At 41.0% G+C, this 17,011-nt stretch overlaps 1 protein-coding gene across 14 annotated transcripts in view; it reads left to right on the forward strand.

Annotated features, from left to right (window-relative positions):
- ARHGAP28 (Rho GTPase activating protein 28) overlaps positions 1-17,011 on the forward strand; it is a 186,001-nt gene that overhangs the window by 148,606 nt on the left and 20,384 nt on the right. For all 14 annotated transcript variants that reach the window (NM_001366230.1, XM_005258146.3, NM_001410873.1 and 11 more), the window contains 5 exons: positions 3,816-3,978; positions 8,836-8,918; positions 11,567-11,764; positions 12,109-12,222; positions 16,514-16,570. In NM_001366230.1, coding sequence (NP_001353159.1) covers positions 3,816-3,978; positions 8,836-8,918; positions 11,567-11,764; positions 12,109-12,222; positions 16,514-16,570 — 615 coding nt within the window. The remainder of the gene's footprint in view (positions 1-3,815; positions 3,979-8,835; positions 8,919-11,566; positions 11,765-12,108; positions 12,223-16,513; positions 16,571-17,011) is intronic.

The raw sequence follows: 17,011 nt of genomic DNA on the forward strand, positions 1-17,011 counted from the left end.
ACATCACACTCTGGGGACTGTTGTGGGGTGGGGGGAGGGGGGAGGGATAGCATTGGGAGATATACCTAATGCTAGATGATGAGTTAGTGGGTGCAGCACACCAGCATGGCACATGTATACATATGTAACTAACCTGCACATTGTGCACATGTACCCTAAAACTTAAAGTATAATAAAAAAAAAATTACAGGGCATTTCTTATGTGCACAAAGTTTAACGTCATAGCAGCAGCTACCTTTCTTTGGCTAATCTTCCACTGAAAAATGCTTCTCAAAGGCTAATCGTTCCTTCAGAAAGTTATTATAGGCACATGCATTCCTGAACCACATACAGGTCAGTCTTTTTTCTCCCCTACCCAGTTTTATGTAGTTTCAGCCTAATTTATTCCATCACTTATTAGTGGAAAATGTAATCCAGATGTTTTCATGGTTTGAGCCCTAGGAAGGCCAATGTGAAAGAAATCTGGGCAAGTGAACAGAAACCGGGAAACACTGCCGTTAGAAAGACATTGAAACGTGATGCATTAAAGGGTTCTTTATTCCTCTCCTTTATTCAAACTTTTTATTTAAACTACCTCCTTTTTTGTAATTCATCCACTAAACTACTAAAAACTCCATTATAATTATCCTCGGATTGAACCAAGTCGATGATACCAGCCCTGTGGTCCGCTAGTGTATCATTACTGTGAACGGTCTGGCCTGGCTTTGTGCTTTAATTGCTTGGGGAGGCTGACAGGGGAGCAGCCCTGGGAGGAAGCTGCTGGTTTTAGCCAAACAGGGAACACGCAGCTGTGGAGCCAAGTCCCAGACTTGAGGCCTCAGCTCATTTGGAACCAATTTAATGCTTTGGTTGGTGTTTGCAATGATTTTCTTTTCAAAAATGACAGAAATTTGAGCCAAACACCGGGGAATATATTTTATGGAAAGAGGCAGACTGTTTGACATGCGAGATTTTCTTTTTTGACTAGTTTGAATCATTCCAAGGCTGTTCTAAATGTTTTATAATTACCTCACCTGGCTTATTTAGGCTGGTCATTTGCATTTGTATAAAACTACCTCCAAAATAGAGGCACATTGCATTTTTGCTGAAGGGAGATTTAATGACAAGACTTCTCATCCTTGCCTAGTCAGGGGTCAGAAAAACAGGGCTTCTGAACCTCTAAGTGCTCCCCATCTTTGGCAAGGTAAACTCATACCCGGCTGACATGGTTTCACATTGGGGCCACCACAGAAATGTCAGCTCTGTTCAGAACCAAAAAAAGACATTATTTCTCTCAGTGTTGCTTTATACTAGCCATCCAGACAGTATGACGCGGTATTATTCCCTAAACAGTCACGCCGCATACGCGTGGGATTCCCATAGTAATGACACTGCAGGTTAGAATAGACCTGAGAGTGGGGGAGGGGCGAGCAGCCAGTGCGGTGTTTATTGAGAGCTGTCAGCATGGCAGGCCCTGCCCTGTGAGCTCTACATGATATTATTTGTTTTGATCTTGGGAATGTCGTTTTAATATTCCATTGTACATTGAGAAGCTTGAAGCACAGACCATAACCTAGTCAGTTGCTGAGTTCGGATAAAAGCCTAAAGGATCTGGTTGTAGCACCTGCCCTTGACCCTGGTGCCCTGTTGCCCCTTAGGTGACTGGGAACTACTCACAGGTTAGGACGGCCACATTTGTGATTCAGATAGATTCCTTTGCAGAGGTATGTGGAAAATGAATTTGAATTCTTCTCCTCTCGCTGGTGCTTCCTGTGCACTTGGAAAACAATGTCCCCTTTGCTTTACTGCAGTGGTACCAGGCGACTGATGGGAAATGCTTACTCCTCCTCCTGTGTTTTTCCTGTTAACAACACTGCCACCTGCCCATTACAAATCAGATGGAAATCGTCTTGGAAAATCATCTCGGATGATTATTTCTCCCTTTGAGTCTCATATTCAATCCATCACTGATTCTTGAGAATTTTCCCTCCTGGGCATTTCTTCAATGCCTCCTCTCCTTTCTATCCTACAACTGTTTATCCAGATTAGTCCTTAGTTATCCCTCCCTGGAAGTGGTGCTGTGGCTTCATAACTGGGTTCTTTGCCTGTCACTCGCTTCCACCCACCCGACCTATGCCAAGCTCCACGCTCCCCCAAATCATTTTTCCATCTGGCTGTCAGAAAAGACAAATCTACCCTTGCCATTCCCGTGCTTAGAGATGTTCCAGGCTGCCTCATTGCCTACAGCGTGAAGGCTAGTCCCCTTAGCACTGGCGCTCGCTGCTCTCCAGCCTTGTTCCTTGCCCTAGATGCGCCAGCAAGGCTGAATGAACTGGAGTTCCCCAGACACACTGGATCTGCTGGCATTTGTATCACTGCTTGAGCAGGATCCCCTTCTATTTCCTATTCCCTGTAATCCTCAAGACTTGCCCCTAGCAGAGTTTGACTCCTCTCTTTCCTGGCTGCATAGCACCAATACATGACTTTTCTTATAGCATGTGCACTCTAAATGAGTCGTATCAGCTCATGAAATAGTCCCACCCACTAGATTACAGGACACCGAAAGGCAAAGAATGGATCTCATGCATCCTCTTTTCAGAGCCCACTCTATCTCTTTCATTTTAGGGAGAACTTTATATTTATGCTTAAGGTTTTGTAAAGTGTATTTATCACCAGAGGGTTTCTTGATTAGCCAAAGTATTCCTATAAGATTGAAAGCTTCTCCAGGGCAAGATGGAAATCTCCTTTTGATCTTATCAGTAGAGGTTAGAGGGTGCATCAGAATCATGCGTATCTCTGCAAGAAACTTGTGCTGCCAGGGACCTCCAGTTTTCAGGCTCTGGGAGCCAAGAGAGTGATTATGTCTGGCTGGTTAATGAGCTAATCCTTATTAGGAAAAGGTCAGATGTGCACACTGACTCTGGCTGTGCGTGCTCAAGGCCAGAAGAATTAGGCTTCTCATGAGAATAAAGCAGAGGTCTTAAAGAAACAGAGCTTTTAGAGTTCCCTTTCTAAGTATCTTTTCTGGAGCAGTTAGTGTCAGCTGGGAGACTGACTATAACTGCTGGCATTATAGGTAAACCTTGTAGTTCAAAGGAGCAGTGAAAAATGAGTTTGCCTTTGAAAAGAAACATGAAGCCTGAGTGGCATTGATAATCAGATGAATTCATAATGTAAAATTTGTTAGCCAAGTAGAACTTACGGAGGCTTAGAGGTTTTTTTAAAAGTATTTGCACAGTGTTCCAAACCTTACAAAGGATTGGGCAAGCATGCAAACATGTGGAAGGCATGTGTCTGTCTTGGAATAAAACTTCGCTGTCACTGCTCCAGGAAGATGTCATAGGTTTGCATGTTGCAGCGAGGTCAGAGTTACTTTATTGGGATATTTCTCATTCTGTTTGTGAACTGGCTGAGAGGCAAACCTTCTTGATCTAATTTAGAAATAGAAGAGAGGATGGCAGAAGGGATTATGAAAAGAGGGGGAACGGAGACTTTGTCAGAATCTAACAGTGTATTTATCATGTGGGAATAGTGGTATTCTGCCAAAACCACAGAAATGAAACTGTGATCAGAGTAGAGAACTTCTATATTTGTGTAGAATTAGAAAATTATTTCAAGATCAACATTATTTTTTAAATATTTTAGAAAATTGTTTTTAAAAATTCATCCTCACATAGCTATTTGCCTTAATCATGTTGAAAAAAAATTACTCTTGGTAGACATTACCTTACCAGTCTGTTTACAAAAACAGTTTATATAAGAACAGTTTTCGAAGGGGAAAATGGGGTCAGGTGGTAAAAGTGCATTGAATACTGACTGTTTTCCTTGATTTACAGCAATACCGTGAAGAACTTGATGCCAAGTTTAATGCTGATAAATTTAAATGGGACAAAATGTGCCATAGAGAAGCTGCAGTAATGTTGAAAGCGTTTTTCAGAGAACTACCCACCTCTCTCTTCCCTGTGGAATATATACCTGCCTTCATCAGTCTAATGGAAAGTAGGTGGAAGACGTTATATGTGAATACGCTAAGATATAAGGTCAATAAAGTGAGAGCAGAAGAGAGATGCTGAATCAAATGTGCTCATGTATAGATTTGCTGTGTCCTGACAGTGCTTGGTGGAATATTAAGTTTGATGGCAAACAGTCACCTACTTACATACTTATATACTTAAGCCTGGTTTAGGGTTTTATAATCATTAAAAGGCAGAGGGGTTTGCAGAAAGACCAGGCTCTTGAGATTTGGATTCCTGTGCAACCATCTGTTAGCCATGCAATCAAACCTTCTGAGCCTCAGTTACTACATCTGTAAATTACAGATAATAATTACCTGTCAGGGTTGCCGTGGATATTGAATGAAGTCATTTAGAATAGAGCCTGGTGTGTGATAATGCATCAAAAAATACGACATCACTGCCTTTCTTAAATCTGAGGTCCTAGGTCTGATGATGCAGCATGCAATAAATACTTCACAGAAGATAATATGTCTCTGAAAATTACAAAGTCACATCATGTTTCTGAAAGTTACAAAGTCATATAGATTAGGCCTTTAAGTGAAGTATGTGGGCAAAAGCACAAAAATTATAAAGTGTGTGTTGTAATTGACAAGGAATCATTTGGCATGGTTTGAGCATAAAGGTTGAATATTGTGGAGGATGTAACAAGAGAAAAGTTTGGAAAAGTAGAATGGGGGTACATAGTGGGGGCTTTAACTGTTAACCTGGGGAGTTCAGGCATTGCAAATCTAAATATGTATGAGCATGCTAAGTAAATGTTGATTCTACATGGACCAAAAAGGTCTGTGTCCAAACTGAGAGGACACACCCCATCTAGAGACATTGACCACTGCTTGGTTCTCCGTAATGGTTGCTGTGCCAGACTGAGAGCCAAATCCAGGCTTTAATGCGAAAACTCTCAATTTGAGAGTGTCAGGCACTAATTTTTTTTTTTTTTTTTGAGACAGAGTGTCGCACTGTTGCCCAGGCTGGAGTTCAGTGATGCGATCTTGGCTCACAGCAACCTCCACCCCCGGGATTCAAGCGATTCTCCTGCCTCAGCCTCCTGAGTAGCTGGGATTACAGGTGTGCGCCACCACACCTGTCTGATTTTTGTATTTTTAGTAGAGACGGGGTTTCGCCATGTTGGCCAGGCTGGTCTCAAACTCCTAGCCTCAAGTGATCTCCCTGCCTCACCCTCCAAATTGCTGGGATTACAGGCGTGAGCCACCACACCTGGCCCAGCCACTAATTTAAATTTTAAAATGTTGTGTGAACTTAACAGGTGATGTCTGTATCTGCCATTGTACAACCTTCTCAGGTTGGCCAGAACTACAATTTCATAAAAATTACAATGAAAGAAAATAATAGATCCTAAGTTGTATGGCAAAATTTGTCCTAAAAATTATGTAGGTTCTAAATCTTTGAATGTTTTAACTAAACCAGATTCATAAAATAATCTTTTGTGTCTTGAAAGAAGAGAATATTGTAGGCAAGGCAGTCATTTTCTAAGCTTTAATTCACATGCTGTCCGTGACCAGTATCTATTTTCTTTGTAAGCTTACTGGGTTTTTTTAATGAGAAAAACTTGCTGAAAAAGAGAGAAGAGCTACTAATTTCCTTCATTCATTTTTGTTTCAGACATTGTATTTTTTCAGTTCTAGAATTTTCAGTTGGTGCTTTTAAAATACTTTCTGTTTTTCTGTTGAGGTGACCTATCTTTTCATTCATTATAATCATATTTTCCTTCACATCATTGAGCACAGGTACAATAGCTGCTTCAAAATCCTTGTTGGCGGCCAGGCGTGGGGGCTCACGCCTGTAATCCCAGCACTTTGGGAGGCTGAGGTGGGCAGATCACGAGTTCAGGAGATCGAGACTATCCTGGCTAACAAGGTGAAACCCCGTCTCTACTAAAAATACAAAAAATTGGCCAGGCGTGGTGGCGGGCACCTGTAGACCCAACTACTCTGGATGCTGAGGCAGGAGAATGGTGTCAACCCAGGCGGTGGAGCTTATAGTGAGCCGAGATCGTGCCACTGCACTCCAGCCTGGGCGACAGAGCAAGACTCTGTCTCAAAAAAGAAAAAAAAGTCCTTGTTGGCAGTTCTAACACCTGGGTTATCTCAGGGTTGGTCTCTGTCTTCTTTGAGAATGGGTTACACTTTCCTTGTTACTTTGTATGTCAAGTAAATTTAAAGCTTATTCTGAACATTATGAATATAGTCTTTGGAGACTATGGATTCTGAAGTATTTCTCCAAAGAATGTTGTTTGGTTTCTTTTACTATTGTTGCTCTTTTAAGCCGGCAGTTTGCTTGACTGGACTCAAATTGCCAGTGGTCTTTTGGGCAGGAGCTCAACTGTGTGTTCAGTTGTTCAATCCTTCGCCGTGTTACCCCACACACGCATGGTTTGTGGGTCAGCCAGAGATTTGGGTGAAGTTTATACCAGAATTAGGACCTTCCATCTCTGGATCACTCATTTGTTTTTGTTTTTTGGTAGTTTGAATTATGCAAGGAGGATTCAAACCTCTAATTCCAGATCTGTTCAGAGAATCATATTTAAGAAGGGTATATGAATATATTAATTTTCATCCTCCAAAATATTCAATCCTTGTGTTCAAACCATGCCAAATGATTCCCTGACTGTCAGTTACAAAACATACTTTATAGTTTTTGTGCTTTTACCCAAATACTTCACTAAAGACCTAATCGGTATGACTTCGTAATTTTCAGAAACACTGTGTGACGTTGTAATTTTCAGAGACCAATTATCTTCTGTGTAGCATTTACTGCATGCTGTATCATCATTACTGCCTATCTGACTACAGCCAGTACATTTCACTGAAGGGAGAGGTTCTGAGAAATATCCTGAAAGGGTTCACAAAGAGTCCACATTCCTTCGTATGACTTTGAAAGTGAAAAATACTATATTGCAGGTGGTTGATTTGATACCAGCGAACCCTGCAGGAAACCCAGAGTTCTGGCCTGCTACCAGCAGGAAATAATGGCCTTTTTGCCACCTAAGTAAGCTCTAGTTGTAACAAGATTCTCTGAAGGGGAGGATTGTGAACAAGCGCGTGTGTGTGTGTGTTTAAGCTGTCCCTCTCAATACCCTCAAATGGAGCTCAGAGAACACAGAGCCTTTTCCACTAATGTCGTTACTTTCTCTTTTCAAACTTGGCCCCAAACTTGACCGTAAAATTAAAGGACTAGTATCATCATCAATCAAGCCTCAGATGCTTTCATTACATGCTTAATAACTTTCTGGGGAAATAATGACCTCAGGAAAGAGAATACTTGTGACGGGGATGTATTAAATGAATTAACTACAAAACTATTAATCACAAAACAGCGTTGGGCCAGGTTTCCTAAGTAAAATGAAAATGGATTATTTGCCAAATTAAACTTAACTTAAAAGAGCTTCTTAATTTCTCTGAAGTTAATGGAAACACAGTGGTCCCAAGCCTACATCTGCATCTCTTGTTTTTTTCTTCCCCAGAGTTGTTTTTTTTTTTTTTTAATTGCGTTGGAAGATTAGAGACAGTCCTCAGCCTGCAGTTTATGCACTAACATTATGTCTTGTCTGCCCCTAAATGCTTTGCACTGAGACTTGCTCTTAAAGTTTCTATTATTCAGGCAAGCTCACAGCAATGTGTATTTGCTCTTTTCAGTAACATCCTGGACCTGCGTCATTATAAATTTGATACAAGTTATCCACAAATCTACACATGGATTTTTCTTCAACAATATGATCCTCCCTCTCTCCCCATATTGCTTGGTTGTATACACTTGTCATCTACTCCTGAACTCTAGCACGCACAGCTCCAGTAACCTACTAGCTTGTCACAAGTGTTTCCACTGCTATACAGCTCAGTTAACTTCACCAGCAGCTGACTGCCTTCCAGCCATTGAATAGAAATAGATTTTCCTTCAACTTGAGAACTCCCCAGAGATTCCAGAACATAATGCTTTCCTCCAAGAACTCCCCACCAAGACACCATTTTGAAGAAAATACAGAGGGACAAAGGAAAGCCTAGATTCTCTGGTGTATTCTAAATTTTCAGCACAGCTGGTCGTGGATTATCCAGCTGTGGATGGAATCCCTGAGTATAAATGCCAACCCTCTGGCGCCATCTTGTGTCATTACTGAGGAAGAAAATACTCAACAATCTCCAAAGATCCAACTACAGTCATCACCTTCCCTAAGTGTCCATGGAAGATCTAGAATAAGTGTCATAGATCATAAAAGTAAGAGCAAATATGTAGAAAGATAACTATGTACAGGTACTGATTTAAACACTCTACATGTATTAACTCATTTAATCCTCATAACAGCCTGTGAGGTAGATACAATGACTATTCCTATTTTACAGATAATAAAGTAGATGCAACAGGGATTAAATAACCTGCCCCAGGTCACACAGCGACTAAATAGTAGTCCAGGTTTGAAACCTGGTTCTAAATCTGTGTTCCTAATACTTATACTTTTCTGCCTCATTATATGGAAGCAAGGTTTATTTTCTCTTGTATTGAGTGAGCTTCACTTCTATTTATAGTATTAAAGGAAGGGAAGGTCTGCGAAAGTACTTTGAAAGGGAAGTGCTATCCAAATCCAGAATTATTCTGAGGATCTCGTTGGCCACCTGCCTCAACAATGGCATCATGGGATGGGAAAAGGGAGTTGATGGACAGAGGCTCCTGTCCAAGTGAACAAATTTACATTGCTGGGCACAAAACCTGAGTCTTTACCACCAAAAGCTGTCAGGAGCCCTCCTGTGCCACCAGATGCTAGCAAGAAATGCTGTCAGGATGCATCAGGGCTATTTAAAATGTATGACTATTTCTGTTTTCTTGTTAGGAGGGCCTCACGTCAAAGTACAGTTTCAAGCCTTACACCTCATGGTCATGGCGCTGCCTGATGCCAACAGAGATGCAGCTCAGGTACGTCGTGTCCACCTCACAGCTTGTCCTGGGGCTCTTATTGCTCAGAGGACATGGCTCATATAGGAAAATGAAAGTGGAGATGACAGCTCACTGAGCCACCTGAGCATGCTGCAAACACACGGCCTTTCTGTGCTCCCACTGCCCTTCTCCTGAGGAAGACAAGAAAGAGTGGAGATCTTGGTATCTTGTTTTTTTTTTTTTTTTGAGAGACAGAGTTTTGCTTTGTCACCCAGGCTGGAGTGCAGTGGCACGATCACAACTCACTGCAGCGTTGACTTCCCAGGGCCAGGTGATTCTCCCATCTCAGCCTTCCAAGTAGCTGGGACTACAGGTATGTGCCACCACACCCAGCTCATTTTTTGCAGAGGCAGGGTTTTGCCATGTTGCTCAGGCTGGTCTCCAACTCCAGGGCTCAAGTGATCCTCCTGCCGCAGCCTCCCAAAGTGCTGGGATTACAAGTGTGAGCCACCACGCCCGGGCGGTATGTTCTTAAACATTTAAGTTTCATTCACTCCATTCATCCCAGAGATGTTGACTGTCTATCCTGTGTCAGGCATTGGGCAAGGTGTTAGGAGTAGAAGAGGCAAAAATGAAGGCTTAAATAGAACAATGTCATAAGTCAATAAGACCATTATGTAACTTGTAAAATAGATTCTATAATTGCTGGTCCTCAACTACTCACATTAGTCTGGTGTACTGAAGTGGAAAGAAAACTCTGATGAGCGTCCTCAGGGAGGAATTTGAAATCACTGGTTTAAATTTCTAGCATGTTCACGTTTTTAAATTTGTGAAAATAATTCAATTTAAATAGTTCTAGAATTTCAGAATTTTAGAGATCATCTGATAGAATTTGGTCATTTTACATATTAGGAAAATGAAGCAGAAAAGTGGTTTCTCCACTGATATATAGTAGAACATTTGATAGAATCATATTCTATAGTTTCATCCCCAATTTTTCTCTCTTTATTTCACATTCATTCTTTGCTGTATGTTGGTAAAAATCAAAGTTTCTCTTGCTCTCTGGATAATCATTCTATATACAATAGGAAATTTGTTTTAAGTACAACAGGTATTTGGAATCTTTGAAATGAAATTGAGATAAGGATGAGTTGAAAAGAGATGGTAATTTTGAGGCCAGTAAACATAATGCTGAAAACAAAGATGGTTCTTAGTGCTGCCTCTTATCAGACATTTCAGTGTGGTAAGGACCTTCCTCCTACACAGCGAAAATATCTATGTCAATTATAATATATGTCGGTCATATTAGATGTATCCTTGAGGCAAGGACAGAGATCAGCTATGACATAAAAATGTCCTTTTCTAATATAATTCAATAATTTTTCAAAAACTGAAAATTTATTAGCTTGTTTTTTCGCTTTGTCTACAGAGTGTTCTTTTATCAAAAAAAAATTCATCTGTTATCAAATATCTGAGTCAAAATGTCATCTACCCTTTCATACAACTGAGGATGCAGCAATTATCAAATAATTCAATACATTTCTAACAAAAGGTCCCCCCAGAACATCACGGGACTGGTGAGGATGTTACACACATGCACTGTCTCTCTCTCTCTCTCTGTCTCTCTAATTTTTTATTCTAAATTGTGACTGGAGCTAGGATTGCAGCTGGTGTGGGTTAGAGGTCAAGAACTCTAGCTGAAGAATTGGTTCCCTTCGTTCAGATCCTGGCTCTGCCACTTAAGCTGAACAAAGCTGCTCAGCCGCACTCCACCTCGGTCTCTTCATCTGTAAAATAATAATAGTACCTACCTCACAGGGTTTGGAATAATGATGAGTGAATATATATAAAGTACTAAGAGTAACGCCTGGCTCACAGCAAACCCTCAAATGAATGTTAACTATTATTACTATTTAGTGCTGTTTTTCTCATTGCAAATACTGTACAGTGGAATTCAAACTTGGAAAACCAAAGAGCACTTCTTTTGGGGATTTCAGTCGTCTTGGTGAATTTAGTATTTATACTTTGATAGCACAGCAAACTTATATTAAGCTTTCTCAATTCTTTATTTTTTTTAATGCTTAGAAGACCTGCACACAAACATTTGCTTTTGGCCAGCTGTCAATTTCAAAGTTGAAAAGCAATAGAAAAATAGCACCCAAAAATTCAATTTTTTTATTGTTTAGTTGAGTTTACATTTGGGCTGAGGAATGAGATACTTATGTTGTTTAAATGAATTTTCCTTTCCCTAGGAAATTGTAAATAGTTTTCAACAGCAATGCTTTAAGTTAAGGGTATTTTTCAGAATTACTTTTCTTCCTTCACAGCAAAACAACCTTTCGTGTTTATTGAACTGCAGCATTTTCTCTTCCCAGTTTATATTTAATTTTAACATTTGTCAGACTCTTTTAGGATAAAAGAAAAGAAAATGCAAACCACATTTATAGAAACTGCAATATAATAAAATCCATTAAAATGGCTACTTTCATGAAGCAGACAGTTGAATATACTGCTCACATTTCTTCTCAGTACTTTTAACCAGTTAGAGGGGAAACATGGTACGTTTAACCATTCTATACTTCTGACAGTTCTCTGGCAGCAGAGTGAATGGGAATAGAATGAATGATAGCAATCAGGGGCACTTTTGACAGTGTACAATTGTATGACACAATGCTGTTTCTTCTTAGGCCCTCATGACATTCTTCAATAAAGTGATTGCCAATGAATCAAAAAACCGAATGAGTCTGTGGAACATTTCTACAGTGATGGCACCAAACCTTTTCTTCAGTAGAAGCAAACACTCTGATTATGAAGAATTACTGTTAGCAAACACTGCGGCCCACATCATCCGCCTAATGCTTAAGTACCAGAAGATTTTGTGGAAGGTGAGTGACATAGTGATGACAGGTCCCCCTCAGAAGTCCATGTCCCCAGGAAACATAAAGCCTCCATGATTGGGCAACTCCCTTGGTCATAGGGAAGAAATATGAGAAGATAACCCCAGGTGGCTGTGACAGCCTTACACCTTCTGGAAGGGCTGCTCTTCAACACAGTTTCCCTTTGAAACAGGGATCCACATAATTTTTTCTAAACTTTATAAGGACAATGCCACCATTCCTGGCTCCAGGATACCGAGTGACTGGGAGGAGTTGCCATGCCTGAAGACAATCTGCTAGGGAGTTTGAATTCAAGTGTTTTCCATCCAGTCCAAGCTATTTTTCTTCTCCAGGTTCCATCTTTCTTAATCACTCAAGTAAGAAGAATGAATGAAGCCACGATGCTATTGAAGAAGCAGCTCCCAAGTGTCAGGAAGCTGCTCAGGAGGAAGACCCTCGAGCGGGAGGTAAGACAGCAAATGAGGCATGGCGATTGTCCACTGCCTAGATTTGTACTCCTCAAAGGGGGGCACAAAGTAGCTTGTCATTTAGAACCAAGCATTTTATATTCTCAAGGATCAGGGAGTGTTGTAACTATAAACATCATGGAAAGTGGGTCCATAACAGAGTACCGTGGCCTTTGCATCTTGTTGAGAGTTATGTGCTTTTTGGTTAAAGTTCTTGAAATATCTCAGTCAGGAAGATTGTTTGATATCCCACCAGAAAGGCTAAAATGGTTCTCGCAAAAGCTGAAAGTCAACATTTTAGTCCCTGTCAACTTGATTTAAGGGCAATCCAGTATCCAAATGTCTAATACTTGGGAAAAGAGATTTCTTCATTGATTGGTTAGTAAAGGAATAGCTAATCCTTAAATTATTTTGTGTAACTTCATTGCATTCCAAGGAATTCAGAGTTTTGTTTTAACACAGTTATTTGTGTGGAGGCACATAATGCCAACAAGTTTTAGAAGAATTAACTTTACTGCTTTTATCTAACTTGAGGATGATCACAAGTGCCAGACATTGCATTCAACCTTGAGGAGGATGTGGAGATACTTGAAATTTACTTTGCCCTCAAAGGAACTTACACCTAATGTGGGAGACAAATGTATATGAGAGCCCCAGGGGCCCAGTAGGGAAGCACCAGGCCAGCTGTGCCAGGGCCATGCAGAGGACAAGGAATGTGCTCTAGCGTGGGAGACTGTGGATGGCTTCATTGAGGATGCAACATTGGAGCTACATTTTTTTTTTTTTGAGACAGAGTCTTACTCCTCTGCCTCCTGAGTTCAAGTGATTCTCCTGCCTCAGCCTCCCAAGTAGCTGGGACTACAGGCATGCGCCACCATGCCTGCCTAATTTTTGTATTTTTAGTAGAGACAGGGTATTTTTAGTAGAGTAGGGTTTCACCATGTTGGCCAGGCTGATCTTGAACTCCTAACCTCAGATGATCCGCCTGACTCAGCCTCCCGAAGTGCTGAGATTACAGGCATGAGCCACTGTGTCCTTCCTGGAGCTACATTTCTTTTTATAGAGTTGGAGTCTTGCTCTGTCACCCAGGCTGGAGTGCAGTGGCATGATCATAGCTCACTGCAACCTCGAACTCCTGGGCTCAAGTGATCCTCCTGCCTGAGCCTCTCCAGTAGCTAGGACTACAGATGCATACCACCATACCTGGCTAACTTTTTAAAAAAAATTTTGTAGAGATGGGGGTCTTGCTGTATTGCCCAGGCTGGTCTTGAACTCGTGGCCTCAAGCGACCCTTCCACTTCGGCCTCCCAAAGTGCTGGGATTACAGATGTGAGCCACTGTGCCTGGTTGGAGTTGTATCTTGAAGGATGGATACCACTGTGAAAGGAGGAAGAGTGAAAGTCCAGGGAAAAGGACAGTAAATGCCAAGGCAGTGAGGCAGGAGGGAGTGTTGTTGATTTATCATAATCATGATGAAAGACTGTATTCTCTGACTCATGATAGGCAAAGTGACTTCATATCAAGTAGAACCAATACTTTTATTTAGAAATGAAATTTTAAAAAATTTGTTTTAATTGAGAAAAAATCACATAATATAAAATTCACTATTTTAAGCTTTGAAATTATACCAATTCAGTGTGTTTGAGTATATTCACGATGTCCTGCAACCATCTCGGCTCACTGCAAGCTTCACTTGCCAGGTTCAAGTGATTCTCCTGCCTCAGCCTCCCAGGTAGCTGGGATTACAGGTGCCTGCCATCATGCCTGGCTAATTTTTTAAATATTTTTAGTAGAGACAGGGTTTCACCATGTTGGCCAGGCTGGTTTCGAACTCCTGACCTCAGGTGATCCGCCCGCCTCTGCCTCCCAAAGTGCTGGGATGACAGGAGTGAACCACCACACCCAGCCTGAAGACTTTTTCTGATAAGTCCAATGTCTGGACTTCCTTAGTTTCTTTAGAAACTGTTGCTTTTTCTCCTTGTGTAGGAGCAATATTTCCTTGACTTTTTTTTACCTAACAGCTATTTGTTGAAGACTGGACATTTTGAGTATTATAATGTAGCAACTTTGGAAATCAGATTCTTCTCCCTCCTCAGGGTTTGTTGCTTCTGCTCTTGTACCTATTGTTTGTTTGCTTCATGACTTTTCTCCTGAACTGATTTTGTAAAGTCTGTATTCTTTGTTTTGTGTGACTATGGAAGTCTGTGATCCATTAGGTTAATGATAACTAATGATTAGACAGAGATTCTCTTAAATGTCTGGAACTGAAAAACCTCCCAGTCTTTGCAGATGAGCAGTGTGTGTGCTGGGGCACACCTTTAGCACTCAGCCAAGCAGTTTCTAATTCTGCCTGAGTCCTCACTTCCTGCTTGCACAGAACCTGAGGATCAGCCAGAAGTTTATGTTTTCAGCTGTTTCTCAATCATATGGCCTTTATATTCTCAAGAATATGTTAAGGCTTTTTACAGCCTTTATTTTCCAAAGCATCTCAGTCTCCAGCCTTGCCTCCCAAGCTTTTTAGTTATCTCTTGTTTTCCTCAATTTCTTCTGATCCACTGCATCAGGCAGCTGTGACAAAAACACTTGCCTGTAAACGTTTTTGACATTACACCCCTCTAGCACCCATCAAGTTCCAAGTTAGGCAAGGTAAAGGCAAGCCTTTTGAGCCAGTCTTTGAGGGAGCCACCAGACAGATGAGAACAAATCATTAGACTTCTTGAGTGAGGTCCATTCTGCTCCCTGCCAGTACCCATGCCAGAAATGCAGGCTGTTATTTTCAAGGCTATCACTGAACTGGAGAGCAGGGATGGAAAAGCATAAGTAAAAATGACACACAGCTCTTCCTCTTACTTAAGCACTCCCCTAGTTGAAGCCTTTGGATTTGTATCCAGAATTCTAAGAGTCAATACTGACAGTTTTTGCCAGTTCATCCATTGCTTTTATGGAGGGGCAGCCATTTTCACTCTGGAAAACCATAACAGTATAATTAAATGTGTGGAACAGAGGTCAGGTCAGGCCTTGTCAGTTACTACCCATATGAGCCTGGACAAACTACATTCTTTTTTTGAGCCTCAATGTTCTCATCTTATAAATTGGGAGGGAGGGCAGATAATGATCTATCTGTTTCATAGAGCTGTCATTAGGATGGACTCACGGTGTGTGTGTGTGTAAACTGTACATTGCTATATCAATGTCACTTTAATGTTTTATTGTAAATAGAACCAAGATATGGTATTTATAAAGGTTATAAATACCATAAAAGCAAACACTTAAAGACAAAGAAATAGTTTTTCTTTCGTACTATTGTACTATATTGCTTTTTGGTTTTTTTTTTTTTTTTTGAGATAGAGTCTTGCTCTGTCACCCAGGCTGGAGTGCAGTGGCGCGATCTCGGCTCGCTGCAACCTCCACATCCTGGGTTCAAGTGATTCTTCTGCCTCAGCCTCCCGAGTAGTTGGGACTACAGATACGTGCCACCACGCTCGGCTAATTTTTTTGTATTTTTAGTAAAGACGGGGTTTCACCGTGTTAGCCAGGATGGTCTAGATCTCCCGATCTCATGATCTCCCTACCTTGGCCTCCCAAAGTGCTAGGATTACAGGCATGAGCCACCATGCCCAGCCACTATATTGTGTTTTTATTTTTTAATTTTGATTGGAATAGACAGTTCATTAACAAGTTATAAATTTAGAAGTCAGGAAAGACCATAGAATAAAAATCAGCCACTTCTGACTTCCCCTCCTGGAGACAAATAGTATCACCAACGGCAGGGTGTGTGTACAGGAACATGCAGGTGTATAAACCTTCTGAGATGCTCTATCTGCTTACCAGCAAATATCAGTGTATGTTCTTTCCCCTTTAACATGAATGTAGCATACAGGAAACACTGTCCTGCATCCTGCTTTACTGACTTAACAAATCATGGGGATTATTTTATATCAGTCCACAAAGCCAGCACCTTTGCTTCTCTGCTTCTTTTGCGTGCTATTCCATAGACACACAATAAGTTATTTCAGCAGTCTCATATTGGTGAACAGTGTGTGTCTGATCTTTTGCTGTTACAATCTGTGTGTCAGCAAACAAACATCTATATACATCATTGTTCACAAATGAAGTATATTTATAGGATAAATGCATAGATGTGGAGCTGTTGGATTAAAGTGCATATACATTTTATAATTTTATAAATATTGCCAAAATGTTCTCCATAAAGATTGTACCAGTTTACACTTCCAAAAGCAACATATGCTTGTTTTCTCAACATTACTCCTAAAGACTGTGTTTCTTTTAGACTGCAAGCCCCAAGACTTCAAAGGTACTGCAAAAATCACCCTCGGCAAGACGAATGGTAAGAAAAATAATTTCTTTTCCCTTCCATTAACTCCCTATATAGTCTTCTCTGGCGACATCCACCACATTTATGTATAATGTTGGTCATGAACTATCCTTCAAACTTGACATTTTCAATGTGGCACATAAAGGAATGGTAGAGGGACCTGACTAGCTGATGATTCAGAATGTGTGCCTGGGCCTCCTATACACAGCTACAATGCTGTGGAAAGTTATAGGAGGAATAAGATTATTGCAGTCATCGGTAAGTAATGTCAGAGTGTGCAACGTATTGTATACGGAGAGGCTTCTGGGGAGCTGGATGAAATAAGACATAGACGATCAAAGGTGAACTTTAGGAGTACAGTCTTGGCTGCAATGAGCCTGGGACTTGGCTCCCACCCAGATCCAAATCCCTCGGTATCTTTTCCTGAACTCCTGCTCTCATGGTCCTTGCTGG

This window comes from Homo sapiens, chromosome 18 (genome assembly GCF_000001405.40).
Source record: "Homo sapiens chromosome 18, GRCh38.p14 Primary Assembly".
In the NCBI taxonomy this organism is placed as follows: Eukaryota; Metazoa; Chordata; class Mammalia; order Primates; family Hominidae; genus Homo; species Homo sapiens.